The sequence below is a fragment of the Homo sapiens genome, chromosome 9 (genome assembly GCF_000001405.40).
Source record: "Homo sapiens chromosome 9, GRCh38.p14 Primary Assembly".
Classification (NCBI taxonomy): domain Eukaryota; kingdom Metazoa; phylum Chordata; class Mammalia; order Primates; family Hominidae; genus Homo; species Homo sapiens.
Window position 1 is genome coordinate 16,230,223 of NC_000009.12, and position 20,902 is coordinate 16,251,124.

General features: G+C 45.5%; 1 long non-coding RNA gene across 1 annotated transcript in view, besides 1 other annotated feature; it reads right to left on the bottom strand.

The window, feature by feature from the left end:
• The window catches only part of LINC03041 (long intergenic non-protein coding RNA 3041), a 72,379-nt gene that overhangs the window by 26,288 nt on the left and 25,189 nt on the right, over window positions 1-20,902 (bottom strand). The gene's annotated exons all lie outside the window — the stretch shown is intronic.
• Window positions 13,618-14,119: an enhancer, noted in NCBI's record as "NANOG hESC enhancer chr9:16243838-16244339 (GRCh37/hg19 assembly coordinates)". NCBI's record gives its function as "activates a minimal SCP1, AML or CMV promoter by ChIP-STARR-seq in naive H9 embryonic stem cells {active_cell/tissue: H9 hESC(naive)}" and the evidence as "EXISTENCE:reporter gene assay evidence [ECO:0000049][PMID:30033119]".

Sequence of the window (20,902 nt, forward strand, 5' to 3'; positions counted from 1 at the left end):
ACTGATGGAGAGATTTCTCTGGTATCATCAACAGTTTAAAAACAGCTCATCCTCTTTGTGCTGTTCGAATTCGTGAATTGCACTCTTCTCCTCTTTCATTTATTACCTACACTAGTGGGCTTGTTTTTACCTAAGACAGTTATATAAGACTCTTGATTCTCTGCAACCCTGTTAGCTCATCTTCACTTCTTTGGCTTCCACTGCCTCAGAAGACCAACACTGGGGAAGGCAGACAGACAGGCAGGAAGCAGGAAGAAGATCCCCAAAGATTTAAGTGCATTGGATCCGCCTGTGATGATTCAAATCAGGTTCCTAGCGCCCCAGGCCTGGTGAGGTTTCCCGATTATCTTTACAAAATGGAAGTAACATGTCCATAGAGGTGTCCCGGGATCCAGGTTGGAGTGTCTAGTGGGGGCCACAAGATGTAGCCCTTAGGAAACTCTGCCTGCCCTTGTGTGCCTTCCTCAGGGAGAGATTCAGCTCCGCTAGTTGGAGCAATTCCTCCTGCCCACTTCCAGACCCCGCATTTAGCTCTTCATTAAAAGAAAGTCCATTGAGGGGCTTAAACACAAAACTCCCTATAATGGTGAATACTCAGAATTACTTTCCACCTGATACTGCTTCATTTAATTGGACTAAAGCAGGCTCCCCTGGCTCCAGCCTCCCTTGAAATCCTGCCCAAATTTGCCTGGCTCCTGCGTGGGCCTGAGTAAATATGCGGCAGGTGCGCTGAGGGGTTGCGAGCTGGGCGCCCATGAACCGTAATGGTTGCTGCATGACTGATTCCCCAGCCCCTCCGCCCTCCTGCTAAATCCCAGGACCCTCCCTGCTTGTGCAAAAAGCGGGCTCCCCAGTGCCGCCTTATGAAGAAGTGGTAGAGCAATTTCATTTAATATTGCTAGTGCTTCCATTAACCTGAGTATATTGCTCTCCATCCTCAATTTAAGACTCCCTCTTTCTCTTGATTATCGCTGTATTTCAGAGCACCTGAATGTCCTCCCCAGACCTCTAAGCCAGCCTGGAATAAGTTGATGATCAAAAGCTACAACTCCTTGAATTTTCTGGCTTCAGAGTAATGCGACCTTCCTGTGCCCCACCTGGAGGCCTTGAAAACCAGCCTGGGTTCTCCACTTTGCTCTGAATGAGGCTCCCTCTGGTTGGCTCTGGTGTTGCCTGTACTCACTCTCTCCTCTAGCGCTTTCCTTCCTTCTTTTCCTTTTCCCATTCTTTTGACTGTTGAGATTTGTGAGACAGGAAAGTGTTTTGAAGCTTTGCAGGGTGAGGTGCAGGTGGACAGAAGTCTGCTACGGACTATTTTGAATCTACTTGATCATTACTTAGATATGTCTATAGCTCTACATGATTGATTGATAAAATCATTAATTCAGCAACCATGTATTAAGTGCCTACTATGTGCCAGGCACTCTTATTGGTGCTGAGAATGAATTCTGAGCCAAACTAGCAAAAGTTTTTGCTCAGGAAGCTTAAATTCTAGTAGGGACAGATAGTAAGCAAACATGTTTCCAGCAGATGCTGATAAATGGTATGAAGAAAAAATAGGGTAAGGGCTGGAGTGTGATTGGGAGGCCACCATGAGCACTCTGGTGCACACACACCCTCCTTTGAATGATACAGGCCTCCCTACACCTGAAGTCTACACAATCTACAATAAGGAGGATGGTGGGGGCGAACTAAGGACACCCTTCCTAGGGAGATCAGAACTGGCAGTATACTTGAGTCAACTCCACCCATCCCCTACCCTCCATCACGGCTTGCAGGAAGCTGGGGCAGTCCCTCAGGGACACAACCCCAGGCTTTCCTCTGGAGGGTAGGCCTGGGAGGGTGAGATATTGATATGACTATAGCATACACAATGGTAATGCATCCTGCCCCATCCTGTCACCACTGTCAGAACCCCTCACTCTACCTCTACTCCCTTGCCAAGCCTTAGGGAAAGGCTGTTGCCTGCCCTGCCATCCCTTGACTGCAGTGGGCAGCTCAAGAAGGAATTAAAGCTAGCTTCTCAAAATCTGTGATCAAGGCCAAGTGCAGTAGCTCAGGCCTGTAATTCCAGCACTTTGGGAGGTCGAGGTGGGAGGATCACTGGAGCCCAGGAGTGTGAGACCAGCCCTGGCAACATAGTGAGACACCATCTCTTAAAAAAAAAAAAAATTAATTAGCCTGGTGTGGTGGTGCATGCAGGTAGTCCCAGCTACTCAGGAGGTTGAGGTGGGAGGACTGCTTAAGCCTGGAAGGTCAAGGCTGCAGCAAGCCTTGATTGCACCACTGCATTGCAGCCTGGGTGATAAAGGAAGATCCTGTCTCAAAAAAAAAAAAAAAATCTATGATCACTGGGCAACCAGACTCCTAATGCCTTCAGGGCATTAGGCTAGGCCTGGCCTGAATCAAAGTATAGCGTTCTGAACTTGGGGGGGCGGGGGAAATAAATGGAAATTGTGGGGTCTGTCAAATGCTCTGAGGAAAAGACAGTTTCCCAAGACAAAGATGCCAGGTCAAGGACGGGGCCCGAGGGGGAGAAAGATCATATGCCTTCCATGCAGATGAGTTTCTAGGCCATTTTCTGCAGCTAAGTAGTGACTGAGGGAAAGCTCTACAGCCAGACTTGGTTTTGAATCTTGGCTGCACACCTCTCTAGTTACCTGGCCTTGGATAAGTTACAAACGCTCTCTGAGCCATTGTGTCCTTGTTGATAGAATGGGCCAGTCATACCTTCTTCATAGAGTTGTTGTGAGAATTAGAAGAAAAATATAAATGGACACTGCTGAGCCCAGGGCAAGAGCTGGCTCTGAGTTGATGAACCTAAATGTCATTTCTGGGATTGTGCTTAAGTAGGAAGATGTCCTCATTTTGTGAATATGTACACTAAAGAATTTAGGAGTGAAATATCATGTCCATAATTTACTTTAAAACATTCCAAAACATACTGTGAAGTAAATATGGCACCTTTCTTCCTTCTCTGGAGGACCTCTAGCCAGCACAATACTTACTCACTTTTATTCAAAATCCAGGTAACATCATTCATTGCCATGGTTTTAAAAACCATCTACTTGTCAACAACTCCAAATTTATATCTGCAAGCCAGACCTGTTTTAAGAACTCTGGACTCAAATATTTGACTGACAATTTGACATCTCATTGCCAACATGTCCTAAATGGAGTATTTTGTTTCTCATCCCCAAACCTATCCCAACAACCTAGTTCCCTGCCTACCCCATCCCACCTTTTTCATCTTGACAAATAGGACCACTGTTCACTGAGATGTTTGACTCAGAAACCTGTGCAATAGTCCTGGTCCCTCGTCTTTCTGATGGCAGTGGCAGCCTGTCTGGAGTGGCTGCTGACATGACACCAACTGCAGTGGGGCACTTGTGGCTGGGGCAGTGCACCCCATGGAGCTGGCAGGAGTCCTACCCCCTCTCAAGTTGGAGGGGTGGGAGCCCCACCCTCCCAGGTGTAGCTGCAGCCACCCAGCCATGGCTACAGACCCAGGCATCCCTGTGCTCTAGGGGACCAGGGAAACCCCTCTGTCCCTGCTGGCTCAAACTGTCTGCTCATGCTGCCTGGCTTCTCCCCACTCACAGCACCTGCTCTGATTTCAGACCAAGTTGTGGCTGAACCCAGGCATTATCACTACCTGGCCTGGTGTGCACGTGCTTGGGGCAGTGCTAATATGCCAGCCCTCTGCCACCTTGGCCCCCTCTGAACTTTGGGCACCAAAAAGCATGGGAGGGAGGCCAAGAGGAGGCTGAGGGCAGCTTGGCATGGGCCTGCAGGCACCCCTTGCCATGAACAGCCTGGGGACCATGGGCACTGTAGATGACGTACGGATGGCAACAGGAGGCAGACAGGCTCCTGGGTGGAAAGAGGTGGGTCCCTGTTGAAGTCCCACCTTCAAGCCAGGGACAGCCTGAAGCTTGAGGGCCAGGGTGTCAGTTCTGTGGACCAGAGTGAGAATTTATGGTGCTTTTTCTGGGCCCACCTATGGCACCCATGGACCAATCAACACACACATTCTCCCCTCAGAAGCTCATAAAAACCCCAGACTCAGCCAGACTCAGGCAGAGGACAGAATGTCCTGCCTATGATTAGGAACCCACTCCAGGTCTCCTCTCCACTGAGGGTTGCAGATGATGGGATGACCTGCCTGAGGATAGGAGCTACCCACTCCAGGTCTCCTCTCTGCTGAGGGGTGCACAGACGTTGGGGTGACCTGCCTGTGGGAGGGAGCTACCCCACTGCAGGTCTCATCTCCTCTGAGAGCTGGATGCTAATGGGGACAACCTGCCTGCAGAAAGGAGCTACCCACTTTGCGTCTCCTGAGGACTGTTCTGCCACTCAGTGAAGCTCTTCTCTGCCTTGCTTACCCTCCAGTTGTCCACGTACCTTATTCTTCCCGGACACAGAACAGGAACTCAGTACCCACCAAATGGTGGGACTAAAAGAGCTGTAACACAAACAGGGCTGAAACACGCCCCCCTGCTCACCATGTTGCAGACAACAAGGAGAGAAGAGCTGTGGCCCTTTTGGAGCCCAGACCTAGGGGCTCCCCAAGCCAGGGCTGTGATACCTTTTTGGATTTCTGTGGTTCCTGGCATCTCCGTGCTTCCAGGCAGCACTGCGTTCCCCGTGTCCAGAAATGTGTGCCCTCAGAGGAAGCCACATACAGTGTATCTGGTCCAGCTGCAGCCCTGCACAGAGCTGGTACCTGGAGTTGCCTGCCCTGTGCAGCAGCCAGTGTGCTTAGCTGTGAACAGTGGCTGGACCACATGCTTGCTTACCCACACACTCCTCGCCACTCTGTACCTGGCTTCTGCTTGACCAGTGTGGGATCCTGGCCAGTAGTGCAAAATGAGTAGTGCATAGCCTGCTGGGCCAAGTGGTCAGAACAACCCCAGCGGGCATGAGCAATACTCAGGCAGAAGGCGCCACCAGCTGCAGAGGTTTCTGGCTGGCGAAGTGACACCCTAAAGATCCTGTGACACTTCCTCACTGCCACATCCAGTCCATCAGCATTCCCTGTTGATCTTACCCTAAAGATTGCCGCTACCTGCCCCCTTCCCACCATCTCCGCTGTGACCCATACCTAGACCACAACAGCAGCTTATGAAGTTCACCTCCCTGCTTTGGCTCTTGCTCCTTGTAATTCACTCCCCCTATGGCCAGCATGAAGGCATAAACCCAATCATTTTACTTGCCTACTAAAAAGTACCAGTAAGTTCCCTTGTGCGTATACAGTTAAATCCACATGCCTCGCCTTGGCCTGTAAAACCAAGCATGACTCCCATCTTCATCTCCATCGTCTTCTCCCTCCTCTCCTTCTCCACTCCCTCTCTGTCTTTCACTGTACTCCAGCCACACTGGCCCCCTTTCTGTCTCTCCAACATGCCAATCTCTTTCTCTTTCTGGGCTTTCCATTAGGCTGTTTCCTCTGGCTTGAATTCTCTCCCTTCCTCTTCCTGTTTCTAGCTCATTCCCATCCTTCTAGTGGCAGCTTAAATTTTATCTCTTTGAGTGTCCTTCTATGACACCTAAATCTCAAATAGACCCCTCTGTCATTCTCATAGCCCCCTAATCTCTTACCCTTCATAAACGGAAGTATCATCTGTTTACCACATATATCCAGTGCTTGGCATAGGGCTTATTAAGTATATGTTCTACACATGAATTGAATGAATTAAAAATTCTACTGCCCTTATTTCACATTCCCATCTGTGAGCCCCACTTCTCCATTCTCAGACCCAGGTTCCAGGCCACACCCATCTGCCAGCCACACTGTGGCCAGAGAGCCCCTCTCTGTGAAGCTCTGCAGCTCTCTCATACTTCCTACCTGCTCACCACTCTGCATCCCAGGGCTCTTGGAAGGCAGGTTGGTTGACCTGGTAGATGAAGTGGTACTTGTGGTCCAACACACCGTTGTGTACACATATGTAGGTGTTAGTTCTGTGTGTTTCATATGCAATCTTTTATTTTTCTTGCAACAACTGCTGCCACTAGGTTGCCCATCCAACAACTTCTGCAAAATTGGACCATGCAAACATGAACAGCAGACTACAGGCCATCATTTTCTCATGTTGGGGGCTCCATCAGAGGCCTTCTCCTTGCGCCTTTTGAGGTGATTTCCTGCTGTTGCTGGGGTCCGCGTTTGGACCACCTTTGAACATGGAAGCCTCTCCCATCCCAGGGTGACTCTGGCTTTCCTATCAGACTCTGTGCTCATGAGAAGTGAATGCTGCAATCGCAGGGCTCACTCTGAGGTCGCAATTACGTAAGGATTATTAATGAAGCAACAATGTCAAAATTGTGTGAAATCAAACTCAGATTTAAGTACTTAAAATAAACAGATATAAAGTAACAGATGTCCCGTTTTGTTCTCAGATGATTTCATCCCTTGTTAAAAATAAACGTCTGGCTTGAAAGGAGAAAAAAAATAAAAGAGACTTTACTTCCATGTTAAAAATTAATTGAATCCAGAGATTGGTAAAGCAACTAAGTGGTGTGGGTTTTTTTTTTTTTTCATTAAGGCAAAGACATATTTGTGTTGATTTTTATTTCAGCAAGTAATGAATTCATTGCATAGCCCCAACTTTCGTAGGCCTAAATCACATCCTTTGAAACCCAAAGGGAAAATTTCTCCAAAGTTATTATGTAGATAAGAATGGGGCCTCATGTGTCTATCTGAGAAGAATTTAGTTCGACGCTAAACCCCGAAGGATGCAACAGCAGAGGCTTCGAAAATCAGGAGTCCAGAGTGTCATTTTCTGAAGCCACAAATTCCCACTGTGGAGCTCTTGCCTTGGAATTTCAGTGTGGAATTCCCAGAGACAACTCCTACTGAAATTAGTAATGAGAAAGGCAAATTAGGTCATCTTGTCCGTCCCCCTGCCAGTTTCCTACACTGTGGTTAATTTTCTCCTCCTTTGATCAGATACATTTTAAATGTTTCAAGAGATGGAAATTGCACCAGTTGTCTCTCTCCAGAGTCTTACCGTCTACTGAAGTTATAGGACTCCATTTTCTGCCCGTGAGACTCAGAGGAATTTTTCGAAGAGTGGAAGGTTGTTTGTGGGCTGGAAACTGTCTTTACCTCCCCCAAATTTCTCATCATTTTCTGGTCATGGCCCAATTCACAGGGATTAGGAATCCAGAGGTATGTTCATCGCCCCAAATCACAAAATGGCCCCGAGAACATCCAAAGAAAATAATTTATTTGTAGAATCTGAGTACAAACACAAGGGGATTGATACTGATGCCCTTGAATAAAAGATGGGGCAGCTTGGCCCTGATGCCAGCTTTCTGTGCAAGAGAGTTACACGTAACATTTATTGGAGGGGGATAAATAATCCAGATCAGAAACCACATGTTCCCAGGAAGAAACTACATGTCTTTCTAAACTGTTAGACACATCTAATAGTAAAAGCACTTTGTGTTTTTGAACGAATTAAATATTTCACTGCCTTTATTTCCAATCTCAATCTCTGAACCCTACGTCTGGAAAACCCAACATTACATTAGCAATGAAAAGCAAAATACAGAATAGTGGCAATGACTGCACATAAAGTATATTGTAGACGTAGTCAATGTCACTGAATTCTAAACTTAGAAATGGTTAAAATGGCAAAGAAAAAATGTAAAAACCCAAAGCCATTCTAACTGTACCAGAGGACGGCGGTGGCGGGGGGTGGGGGGGTGGCTTTCTGCAATGGGTAGAGCAGGTGGACACGGGAGAAAGGGAGACCTCTTCTTCCTTGTTTTAAAGCACACGCCTTGGCTCTAGGAGATGAGACGTGGGGTGATGGAGTGGGCAGTGGGCTGAGAGGCACAGACTGGTGTGGTTTCACACAGGTCCATCCCTTCCCTTCTCAGCACATCCCTCTGCACATTTTCCATAGAGGAAGAGGGTGGGACAACATGTTCTCTGAGGTCTCTTCAGCCCTAGCATGTTGCTGTTTATGGCAGACACTGTTATGGCCAATTCCCCATCCATTCTCTTTTCCACTTACTAACAGAACCTCCTTTTTGATTTTGAGTGTCACTATGCCAAATTATTTAAAATAAATAAAAATCAAAAGCTCTCTTCCACAGGCTCCCTTGCAGCTGGGGGTTGGCTATGTGACTCAGTTCTAGCCGATGAGATGTCAGCAGAAGTCCCTGGGGAGATAGTCTCTGTGTCTCCCCCTTTTTCATCCTCTTTGCCCCATCGTGGTTGCAATACTTCACGTGATCTTCTTGCAACCATGGGGATAAAGCAGGAGGAGAGAGGGAAGTTTGGCCTGTAGTGATGGGATAGAGCTGCCATATAAGCCCTGGACAGACAACTCAACAATTTGCATAGGTGTGGGTGTGGGTGTGAATGTGTGTCTATCATAAACACCTTTACTTCTTTAAGCCACTGTAGCATGGCTTTCTGTTAAAGCCAAAGACATTTTTAACTGACATAAATTTCATGTCAATGACATTCGAAATTCCACATTACTCACTCCTTTGAATGAAGTGCTGAAGGCTTGTATTAAAATACAAATGGTTTTTGGAAGGGGAACATTTTAAGTTATAACAAGCCATTGATATCGTAAGTTCAAGAGCATTTATCAAAATAGCTATTCAGTTCAATGGCAGGAACCTAGAGGAACAGGATAGGAGACATGGACTTGGGCGTGAGGGAGTTTCCTTCAGCAAAGTTCTGATGTAAAGGAGCTTCCTTACTGAGTCACAGCAGAGACGGAGTCCTGAGCTCTGGGCCAGGGGTGCTGGGTGAGGTGGACAGAGCTTATGGAGAGATGGAGAAAGGCTGGAAAGAATAATATGGTTTGGTTGAGTCCCCACCCAAATCTCATCTTGAATTGTAACTCCCACAATTCCCAGGTGTCGTGGGAGGAACCTGGTGGGAAGTAATTGAATCTTGGGGGTGCATCTTTCCCATGCTGTTCTCATGATAGTAAGTCTCATGAGATCTGATGGTTTTAAAAACGGGAATTTCCCTGCACAAGTCCTCTTTTTGCCTGCTGCCATCCATGTAAGACGTGACTTGATCCCTTTCGCCTTCTGCCATGGTTGTGAGGCCTCCCCAGCCATGTGGAACCGTAAGTCCATTAAACTTCTTTCTTTTGTAAATTGCGCAGTCTTGGGTATGTCTTTATCAGCAGCGTGAAAGTGGACTAATACAGAGAATGCCAAATTATTCCTTGGATTTGTCTCCTGTGGAGGAAGCTTCAACGCTGAATGGCACCTGAAGGCTTCCAGAGTGGTTCTCAGACATTTAGAAGGGAGACAGGAAGTTTTGTAGTATTTATCCCGGGAGTTTAGAATTTAGTCTGAAGATACCTCCAATTGTGCTTTCTCCTGCTCCCTCCCGTACAGCCACTTCTTATCTTACCCCTTACTCCAGAGCCTGCTCAAAGCCCAGAGTCTACACTATCCCTTTCTAGCCCCCTGGAACCCCCGACAGCATGTCTGTGCTGGCTTCCCAGCTCTTCCCTCCCAGTGCAGATATGCACTGCCTCAGCCCTTTTGGTCCAAGCGTCTCCTGAGCCTGGTGTCTCCTGCAGCACTAAATGTCTCATGGCCCTTTCTTTCTTTAACCGCATTAAGTACTCACAGCCCAGCACCATGCTAAACTATATCTATGAACCAGCTCCTTCCATCCTGGCCCTGGGCTCACCCTCACCCCCAGCCAGGGCCCAGGGCCCTCAGTGTTGCCCTGACAGAACAGGGGCCCCTGTCGGCTGTGTAATAACCCTAAACCTGTTCATCATCCTCCCTCCTCCTCCCCGCAACCCTCACTTGAAGTAACCTCCTTGCTTCTCCTGCCAACAAGTGCCATGCCCTGTGCTATTTTTGCTGTTAAAAGAGGGACCAGTCCCTATAACATTTTTTATGAAGGAAATGACTACATCATGAGGCTCAGGGTAAGAGGCAGAAAACAAGGGCCCTGGAGAAAGGGCATTCTGGAGAGGGTCCACAGAAGCCAGTCTCACACAGTGCAGGCAGGAAGCCCCCATCCCTGAATACCCAAAAGGCCCTGAGAAACTCACCCAGGGGCAGGGAGCAGAGGCGTTCTTGAGGGGCAGAGTTAAATGCATGGATTTAGCCATCAGACTGACCTGATTTATGTCCCCACTCTGCCACCACATAGCTGTGTGACCTGAGGCAAGTCACTTAGCATCTCTTAGCCTCAGTTACCTCATCTGTGAATAGGAAGTATAGTTTTAACAGCTAACCTCTCCTAGGCTTCTATGAGAATGCAGTGAGATAAGCCATGAAAAGTAGTATCAGTCTGTCCTGTCAGGAAACAGAAACCACCCTGGGTATTTCAACAAAGGAAGTTTAATACAAGTGATTGGGTATGAATGTTTTGGAAGGGCTGCTGGAGCAAAACCAGGAAGGCAGTGTTGTTTAGAGATAGGTACCTACAGGAAGACCCTGCCCTCTGGGACAGGAGACCATAGGGAGGTGGGGTTGCCCATAGCTCACGAGCTCTGCCCCATGGGGCTGCTATGGTGCCTCTGCTTCCTCTACTCTTGTTACCTTGGCTGCCATGATGAGAAAGCAAGGACCTGGGCCTTTGTGGTCATTGCACGGGCCCAGGAGCTCAACAAACCCCAGGGCATTGTCACTTACCAGCTATGTTAGGGGCCCCATGGTCACCTGCTGTTGTTTGCTGCTGCTGCTGCTGCTGCTGCTGCTGCGCAGCCACCAGCACAAGACACTGGATTAGTTAAAATATCAAAATAATGACTTTTTGCTCCCATTTCCCAGTATTCTGTGAGTGCTTCCTATTGACAGAATGGAACCGAACCTGGCAAGGACGTCTGGGAGATGTAGTTTTCAGGCTTCCCAGCCCTGGATACAGAAGAGGAAATCACTAACACAAACAGCACAACTCCTGGCAAATAGTAAGTGCTTGATTATTTTAACCCTCGTCATCATCATTGTTATTATTTGTAGCATACCTTGGTTTTTTACTTCCTGCAACTGACAAGTAGTGGGGTCTCAATCAAGTTATTTCACCTCTTCACGCTTCCATTTCTTTAAAGAGAATGGATGAGTGCCGGGGCCACACACAACAAATAATTTTCTTCTTTCCCTCATTTATCCAATCAACAAACATTGCTAAGTACCCTGAATCAGCCAGGCATGGAGCAGGCAACCATGGATATAAGATCAGCAAGATCAGGTTTGTGCTAAAGGTCACTGTCTCTAGTGAAATGAAAATATGTGCTTCTTAGTCATCGTGAGTTCACCCTGCTAGTTAGAAGCAAAACAAATGGACTCCCAGTCCAGTGCTGTTTCCTGTATATTTTATTACTTCTCTAATTTTTCTAGCAAAGCCCATGTTTCTAGCAAAACATTTCTCCTTCTGTTTCTGGGTGTGCACATAACCAATAGTCCCTTTCTCCAATAAGTTCCATTACTCACTGCCCATCATCCACCCACCCCCGCCCTGCTGTCACCTGGGCCCCCATATCAACTTGTCAATGATGTAGCAGGGAGATGAGCCGCAGAGTGGGTCAGCAGCCTGGGGCCCTGGTCAGCACCTGCAGAGCAATCAGGGTAATAAGGAATGTAAAAATATGAATGCTCTGGGTCTCCATGATTTCCCTGTTTGCCCAATCCGTCACTCTGCTACCCATGGATTTCCCACTATTACTCATGACCCTAATGTGGAGTGGGAGACCCTGTGTATTCCATCTCTTATTCCTGCTCACTCCAAACGCATTTCAAATATTGCCGTGGAAACGTCAATTCCCCAAGCCAAGAAGACCCCCGTTTCCCAGAAGCTACTTCTACGAACTCTAGAATATAGATGAGCCTGGCCCAATCACGCGCTGCATCTGGGCCCAGCGGATTTGTAGCACACCTGCATTGGAGGTAAATCGATTGGCGCTTCTTAATCCTGGCTACTACCAGGCAGGTTCTCTCCTACTCATTGAAGCTTAGTAGCAACATGCCCTTCACTGTAAAGAGAATTTTTTGTCCTCTCACTTGGGACTAAAGGTCAAAGTTTAAATCTATATTTAATGCCATTTTCTGAAAACTGGATTTGTGATTCCCTTTATGTTGGTATTACATATCTTAAGGGATTTCAGGGGGAGAAATCTGGGAAGCCCAGTTTCTGAGAATGACCTTTACTTTAAATGTGTAAATAGGATGGAGCTTGTGTTTCTGGTTTTTAAACCTTCTAATTGTGCTTCCAAAGACAGCGCTGGAAAGCGTAGGCTGTGGTGAGTGGTTACACAGAAGCCACTTTGAAAAGGAAAGACTTTGATTTTTGTCTTATACAGATGAAAGGCCGGAGGCCATAAGGGCTCATGCTTTTCTGGCCTGCTAGGGACAGTTTCTTTTGAAGCTTTGTACCTCCAGCTAGAGTGATCCCACATTAGAATATGCAAATAGTACGGCCTTTAAGTGTCTCGGAAAAGGGAAAGTTCAAATTTACTTAATTCTATTTTTCCTCTGAATTTTATAAAACATTATTGAAGTGGCATCAGAATATCATTCAGAATGTCAGTTTTAGAATATTTCAAATATTTACCTAAAGGTTTTTTAACAGCAGCTTTTACAGTCTGAATGTGGCACTAAAAGCAGATATAAAATCGACTTTTTGTATACTTCATAAGCTCACACTTGCATATTTAGAAGGTAGGGATAAGGGTCTCTCAGTTTGCCAAGTGTCTCTAGCCAGGATTAATGGATGGATGGCTAGATAGACAGAGAGGATAGGATAGATTAGATAAAGAGAGATGAATAACTGTAATAATAAATAAATATGCCATGATAAACTTATTTTTTAGAAAACAGATCGACCCTCATATTATCACATAATCCCCAGCTCTCAGACTCCTAAAATTTGGCATCTGCTATTTTGAAACAAGATGTGACTTGTCCTCCCTGGCTATATGGAAAAGACGGGTGTCTATAAAATTTTTTTTTTTATTACTCAACATCATTATAAAATCGGGCTCTGGGAAATTTGCTGAGTCCTACCAGATTGTTCTGCCCTCACACCTCCCTGCCACTCCCACAGCAAAGGCACGGCCCCCTCCACTGCCAGCCACTGTCTGGACGCTGACTCTGCAAAGGGTCCATTGATGAGAACTGTGAGGACATCACAGCCCAGGCTCAATTCAAAAGTGGCAGGACCAGATCACAATCCCCAGCCTTTCCAACCCAAAACCCACATCCTCCCGCTTTATTCCACTCGGTTGCAAAGTGAAGCTCACTGGGCCTTCAACTTGGGGGGAAGAAAAAGACTTCTTTATGAAGCGAGCCATTTCTTGTAGCATTTAATTTTTTTACCCTCATTCGCACGTGTCTATCAGATACCTCCTCCATCAGAAAGCAAACTCCCAGAAACAGGTTGTGGTAGACTTGGGCTGGTGTTTGCAGCCACTCTAATGACCAGATCAGGTCTCTGTGTGGTAAGCACTGAGCTGGCCAGATGGACCAAAGCTGTAACATGCCTTGGGCACATTTGTTCACAGTTTATAGCCACAGTGAACTTCAGTTTTTAGAGAGGCATCTAAGTACCCTCTTTATGATTGCCCCAAGCTTTCCTCTCCCTCCTGTGGTCATATAGGCCTTAACTGCCACCCTCCCACCTGCAACTTCCAGCCCCTAAACACCCGCTAGGGAGGAATACAGCCCTTCTCCTGCCTGTGTCCCTCCACTGATTTCCTGGTTGGTGTTTGTTTCCTCGTTCTTGCAAACTGGGCTCCTCCCACTGTCTTCCCACCTTTGTTCCCTTGCCCCTGAATAGCTGTCACTGAAACCACTGTTGACCCTTGCCTTTCCAGAATGCCTCCCCTCCTCCCCCTGCATCCTTTATTTAATGGTGGCTGCCTTAGGCGAAGCTGATTAATCTCACCTCCTCCACGGCCACGCCTTCTTCCCTGGGGCTCTGTGCTACCTCTGCACTTTGTTTCTAGGTGACCTCCTCTATTCCATCACTTTTAACTGAGGCGGACTCAAGGAATGTCTTTCTCTCTCTCTCTACACCACACACACACACACACACACACACACACACACACACACACAACCCAAACATACTCTCTTCCCTCTATTCACCACCATCTCTCTCCCAGCTTCTCCTTCTTTTAAGGAAAGTTGCCACCATGTCAAACTGCAATCAAGTTTTATTGTCTTTGCCGGAGGCCATTTTCTTTCTCATTCCCAACTCCTAATCTTCAAGCCTAAGGTACTCATATGATTTGTCATATTGAGACCCTCTTTTCCTTAGGATCTTCAGGATTCCTCCACTTCATTCTCAGCAAAAATGTCTTAATTCAGGGTCCTTGTCTCTTACACCTCATCGACTGTAATGTTTGACTTTTCATGATGTAGTCCAAGACAAAAAACCAGACGGTCACATTTAAGGCAATTTTGAGAGGCTCATATAGTTGTACAACACATTAGAAGCAACTTGTTCGTGGTGGATATTTAATAAATATTGAAACAGGGAAGAAATAGTTAAAAATGCGGTCCCTGGAGTCAGGCAGACCAGAGTTCAAATTCTGCCTACATCCCTTACAATCTCTGAGACCCTAGGGATGTGACTGAATCTCTCTGAGCCTCATTTCCTCTTCCATAAAAAATAAATTATAATCAGAGTACTTCTTTCCTGGGATGTTGTGAAGATTAAGTGAAATAATGGGTATGAAGGCTTAGCCTCAAGTCTGGTACAAAATATTAGTTCAAAAATATTATCTTTTATTAAATGTTAGGTTGATGCAAAAGTAATAACAGTTTTTGGCATTACTTTTAATGGCAAAAAGTGCAATTACTTTTGCACCAACCTAACAGCATTCAACAGACAAAGAACAAACCCCTTGGTTTAGGGCAGTAGCCTCTTAACAGCTTAATTCTGAGTCTAATTTTTGTTTTTTAAATCTCTGCTTATTTCTAGGCTTAATTGACCAAAAAGGATTACCACTGCCTCCTAGGCCAATTTCTAGTTTCTTGCTTATGCCATACATTTTGGGTCTGAAGTTCAACAGGAATCAGGCAATCTCCCAGCTTTTTCTAACACTCTCAGAATTCACCTCTTCACTCTTTATGGCCTTCCACTGTCTGAGAGCTTGGAGGTAGCTAGGGGTCACCTTGGAGGGCAAGCATATGGCTTGGAAAGCATTCTCTTTGACTCACTTTACCTCCCACCCAGCTCTATGCATTGTATAGATTTTTTAAGCCAAACACATGAAAGGCATGGACACAAGTCGTCCACGGAAGTTTCACCACCAGTTCAACTCTTGTAATTAATTAGCCAGTAAATTCAGTAACATTTTAAAGAAGAGTAAATTCAATCAAAGAAACAGGGAATTCAGTTCAGTCATAGGTTTAGATTTTGCTCCCCCACTTTTTTTGGTTAGTTGTGGCTGAGCCACCACTGCAATTGAGACAAAACGGTTGGATCTGTCTTACATCAACCTCCTTTAAGCACTTTCAAGTAACTTGCCTTGACCAGAGAGCTAAGAAGTAGGCATTTCACTACCTTTTCAGCAAATGGTGATTTTCTTTGTCAGCCCCATAAAGTGAAAGTTCTAGCTGTTCCTAGGAGAAAAAAAAAAAGCTCAGTTTCACTGTCAAGGCCAAGAACTGGAAGCCAGAACACTTAGAGCTCTTGGTTCTGTTGCATGATTAATTCTCCATGAAGGCATTTAATTTTCTCTCCCTCATCTTCTGCATCTGTAAAATAGGAGTAAGCAATACCCTAGAGTTGCCAGAGATCAATGGGCAGGGACAGGCATTAATGAGGCAGCATATGAAATATTCAGTGAGATTCTTGGATAAGGAGTTACCAATGATTACATGCTTGCTTACCAACTTCCAGATTTAGCAAATCTGTATTGTTAGTACATACTAAAAATTAAAGGACAGCAAGAAATACAAATTTAATTTGTAAAAAGTCTTCAATTACTGGTTTGGAAATGCCCCTTGGAGATACAGGCTTCATTCTGGCTTGCTTTTCAAACTCAGTCACTAACCACAGGGTGTGAGGGTCCCGCTCCTGCAGTCTTCAGGGCCATTGGCTCCACTCTCCACCCCCTGCTTTGTGCTACAGCTTCCAATCTGATTTCACAATAAAAGGTCACACAGCTGCCTTTGGCTGCCAAGTTTCAAATATGCCCTGATGTTAACCCTTTAGAGGCTACAGAGCAGTGGCATTTTTCTCAGTGCTGTTCCAGTATTCACATAAATGGGTCATCTAAGTTCCAAGAATATGCATGCCCTCCACCCTCCACATAGGACTCCATAAAACCATTACATTTGAATGAGAATGTAAGATGCTTCCAAAACTACATTGATGCTATTTCCTAAATTGATTTTTTTGTGAAGAAAGTTGTGTTGTAGTGTTCCACCCTCAGAGTGTCTTAACCAGTGAGCATCTTGTAGACAGTCCTTCCCCGATATTCTGCAACACCTCACCCCATCCCTCCAAAGTCTTTGGGGAATGAAGAAGGCTAGAGCCACCAGCTTCCCTCAGAGAGGAGACCTGGGCTTTAGGCTTCCTGAACCTCATTCTGACTCTCCTTAATGTTCTTCTTTATCCTGCTTCTTGAAAAAGCCAACTTGGAGCATATGTGGACAAGCTCCAGAAAACAGTGTGCTCTCATCAGTGAGCCCATCTAGTGGGGAAGGCAAACAGAGTCATGCACCCGGATCCCCTTGGTGGAACCAGGCCAGCAGTCAGCTTAGAATGTCTAAGGAAGGAGACTCCAGCAGCCAATCTAACCTCACAACCCCACAACTCCTCCCTGCCTTGAATCACTCTTTCCCCGCTGGCCCACAGAGCTTTGATGCAGCCCTTCAGAGACCTGGGTGCATTGCTGACACGACTGTCTAGCCCACTCCCCTCTGAGACCTCGTGGGAAGTGTTATGATTTTCTCTGTGCTCCTCTGTGCCTAGCACCGTGCCTGACACTTTAGAAGCCCTAATTGTCCGTCAGATGAATCAACAAAGATAAAATATCAGTTGACAATTAACCTGCTTCAAAGGATGAACAACTCTATTTCTGGAAACTGTACTGAAGTAATTGGTTCACAGATTAAATTGCTAAAGTGCTTACTGGACAAGTTAGTGAGTGACTTTTTTGGCACACTTCATAATAAGTGACACATCTTTGACTAGTCACCAGGAATGTGAGTTTATCCACCAAGCATTTATTGAGACTCGCGTACGTGCCCAGGAGTGTTCCAGTACCGTGGGGGAGGGTAGCAGGGAAAGGGAAATAGAACAGAATTGTGAGTCCTGGGTCCTGTCCTCCAGCATCTTAATCCTAATGAGGAGGAACAGATTCAGAAAGACTGTGGCAGAACACTTGTGACACTCCAAGCTGGACCCTCAACCCTGGACAAACTTGCTGTGATTTAGACATGGCTCAGCCAGCCAGGTTGGTTCTGGCCACAGTATCTCTGGACCACATCATGTCACAATGCAGTATGGTCACATCATTAAAACATCCAGACATGCCTTCAACCATTATATAGCCAAACCAGTGTCTGTGGGGAGATGAGTGGTTTCAGTGAAATCACAAGTCTGAGAGCAGAAATGGCAAATGAAGAACTTCACTGAGCAAAACCCCTGGAAAAGCGAGGGGGCCATGCCAGCCTCTTCCTTCAGAGCTCAGAGCTGCTGCCTCTTCCTCTCACCTGCCTAGGTTTCCTAACTTCTCTTGAGAGGCAGGTGTGGCTAACACATTTTTAAAAATAACTTGGCACCTATTTCCAACCCCCTTTTTCTTTATCTCTCTCTGCTATAGCAGCTGGAAAATCTAAATATGGTATTTCCCAGCCTCTCTGGTGTTCTCTTGGCCAATGAGACAGAAGCACAAGTCAGCTGGGGGCTTCTTGGAGGGTTTCAGCTCTCCTGACACCACCCCTACCCAAGTCCCTTTTCTGTCTTGACCACAGACATGACCGCTCAAGGTGAGGCAAGCCTCTTGTGAACATGAGAGAAAGGTTAAAATCAGCACAGAGACATTGGTCCCGATGCCAAAGCAGCCTTCAGATGTCTTGTTGTGTAAGAAAACACAATTCTGTTTAAGTCACCCTTGGGTTTTCTGTTACATGCAGCTAAACATATTCGTAACTGGATTAGAGAGTTAAAAATTTCCTTTTCTTTATATGAGGAATGATCAATAAGATATCAAAAGTGAATACCAAATAGGAAAGAGGAATATAGTAGCAGAGAAACTAGTATCCCTGGGACCCACAATGACATTTGTGGAACAGCTCATTGTGACTGGCTATGGACACAAAGTGGGCCCTTTGCCTGCCTCCCAGTTAATACAGCATAGAACCTTTTAAAATAAATAGTGTTTTTAACAATAAAACCTCAATTAGCCATCTAACTATCCTCTAACTTGAACTCTCAAGTCGTTGGACAAGCTCATGTTATTCATGACCAATATTTGGACTGATGCTTTAAAGTTTTAGAAAGCACTTTTATATGCATCATCTGGCATAATCTCTGCCACTTTTATCAGCTCCTTAAATACAGATAGGCACAGGAGTGCCTGCCTGGCTTTAGAAAGGCAATCCTTGAATCTCCCAGAAAATTAGCTTATTAGTTATCATATGTGAAATATATTCTGGTTTTATTTTTTTAAATACAATTTAGTTGGTTCATAGGAACATTACTTATCAGAGCCACAAAGTGGAGACAACCCAAATGTCTATCAACTAATGAATGGACAAGCAAAATGTTGTATCTATACAATGGGATATCATTTGACCGTAAAAAGGACTGACATTCTGATACATACCAGACCATGGCTGAGCCTTGAAAGGATCTTGCTAAGTGAAAAACAAGCCAGACACAATGACTACGTATTATACGATTCCATTTATGTGCAACGCGGAATAGGCAAACTTGTAGAGACAGAAGGTAGATTAGCGGTTACAAGGAGGGGGAAGGAGGAATGGGGAGTAATGCTAATGGATATCAAGCTTCTTTTGGGGTGATAAAAGTGTTCTAAAATTAGATAATGGTGAGGGTTGTACAATTTTGAACATACTAAAAATTGCTGAATTATACACTTTAAAGGGTGAGTTTTATGGTATGTAAATTATACCTCAATAAAGATGATATCTTTATCATATCTCATGATGGTATAAAGCCATCTTCTTGGGTTTGAATCCCAACTCTGCCGCATACTGGTTGTGTGATTTTGACCAAGTTACCTAACTTCTCTGTGCCTCAGTTTCCTCTTCTGTAGAGTGGCTGTAGTAAGATACCCTATCTCATAGGACTGTTGGGAGGATTAAATTAATTATTTAAAACGTATAAATTACTCAGAATTGTACCTTTCACACAGGGAACACTGTGGAAAAGTGTCTGCTGTTATTATTATTGTTATCATTATTCAAACCTGGGATTTTTATTTGACACAAAGACCATTCTTTGTACCAAGCTGTGAATAAATCTGTTTAGAATTATAGATGACTTTTTGGTGTGGAGTTTGTTGTCCCTTCCTTGTCTATTAGCTACCAAAGTGGGTATCTGTTTTGTGCTTGGTTGCTTGTAGGTACAAAGGTAGTAATTTGGAGCACAAATAAATATACCCCAGGTCTCACCAGCTGGTGATTATACATACACACACACACACACACACACACACACACACAACAAGCTATGATTTTGAACACTGCATGCGCTCCATAAAGGAGCTTGCACGATCCTGCAGTTTGTTGTTAGAGCGTCAGTGGGCACCAGGTGCCTGCATTTCTTTCCTCTCCTGCATCTCCTTCCCGTCCTTCCTCTATGGCTCCCATAGAGCTGCCTAAAGGAGGCCCTGCTGCCCCAGGACAGTGAGCATCCCCAGAGTGCCATTTCCCACCCAGGCTGCCATCTGTTATGTGCCCAGAGGAGATTGTGGATCCTTGCAGGAAAGAGAAGGATAGAAGCTTCTGTGGCTATGGGATCACGTGGGCCCCAAAGCAGCAGATCCATGCCAGAATCTCACCTTCTCAGGAGAACAGCTCTCCTGTGCTCCAACTCTCATTCCTCCAGGCGTGGCTTCAAACCCTCTCTGCCAGACCAGACTCAAAATAGCTGTTCCTGCATTTTACCCAATAGCTCCCTTTTCCTTCTGCCTCTTTCCCAAAGAAAATGTTACCCATGCAATTAAAGTAACAGTCACAAACAGATGCAAATAAGGGGTGAAAAGTGGGCTTGTCTACACTACCAACACCTGGGACCCAGCTTGGCCAGCCAAAGGCTCTATTCCAATGCGGATAGAGAACTACCATCTTGACATTACACGAGAATGAGGTTAGCAGGGCAGTCTTTTAAAGGAGCAGGCACCATTGATCATTGAATAAATAGTTATTGATCACATACTATGGCCTGGCACTAGACTGGTGCTAGGGATATCATTATGAATAAATGCAGAACTGCCTTAATCCTCATTTGCCATGAGGAGAAACAATAGATGAATGTTGAACACACTTTTCTTTTTCCATTGAAACATCAATGATATGCTACCACATTTGGATCAACAAGACACTTTCCCAGCCTGGCCCCTCCAATTCCCTCCTAGGAGAACAGAAAGATAAACATTCTTTTATCTGAAGTTGACATGGTTTTATTTTCATGAACTAGGAGTGGCCTTAATAGACAACAGGCCCTGCTCTCCAGTCACTGCCAGAAAGAAGAGCTACAGACCATTTATTCTGAAACCACATCCCAAATACTTAACTGACTTCTGGTTCACAATCCTATACAACAGTTACCTTTTGGCCTATAACATGGCTAAACGTATTTGATGCTTCTCATCTAAAACTCCAGGATAGCACATTAAGCATCTAGTTCCCAGGTGGTCCTCCTATACTATTCCTCTAGGATAATGAAAATTCTCCTAGGACAGGTTGTGGAACTCATCTA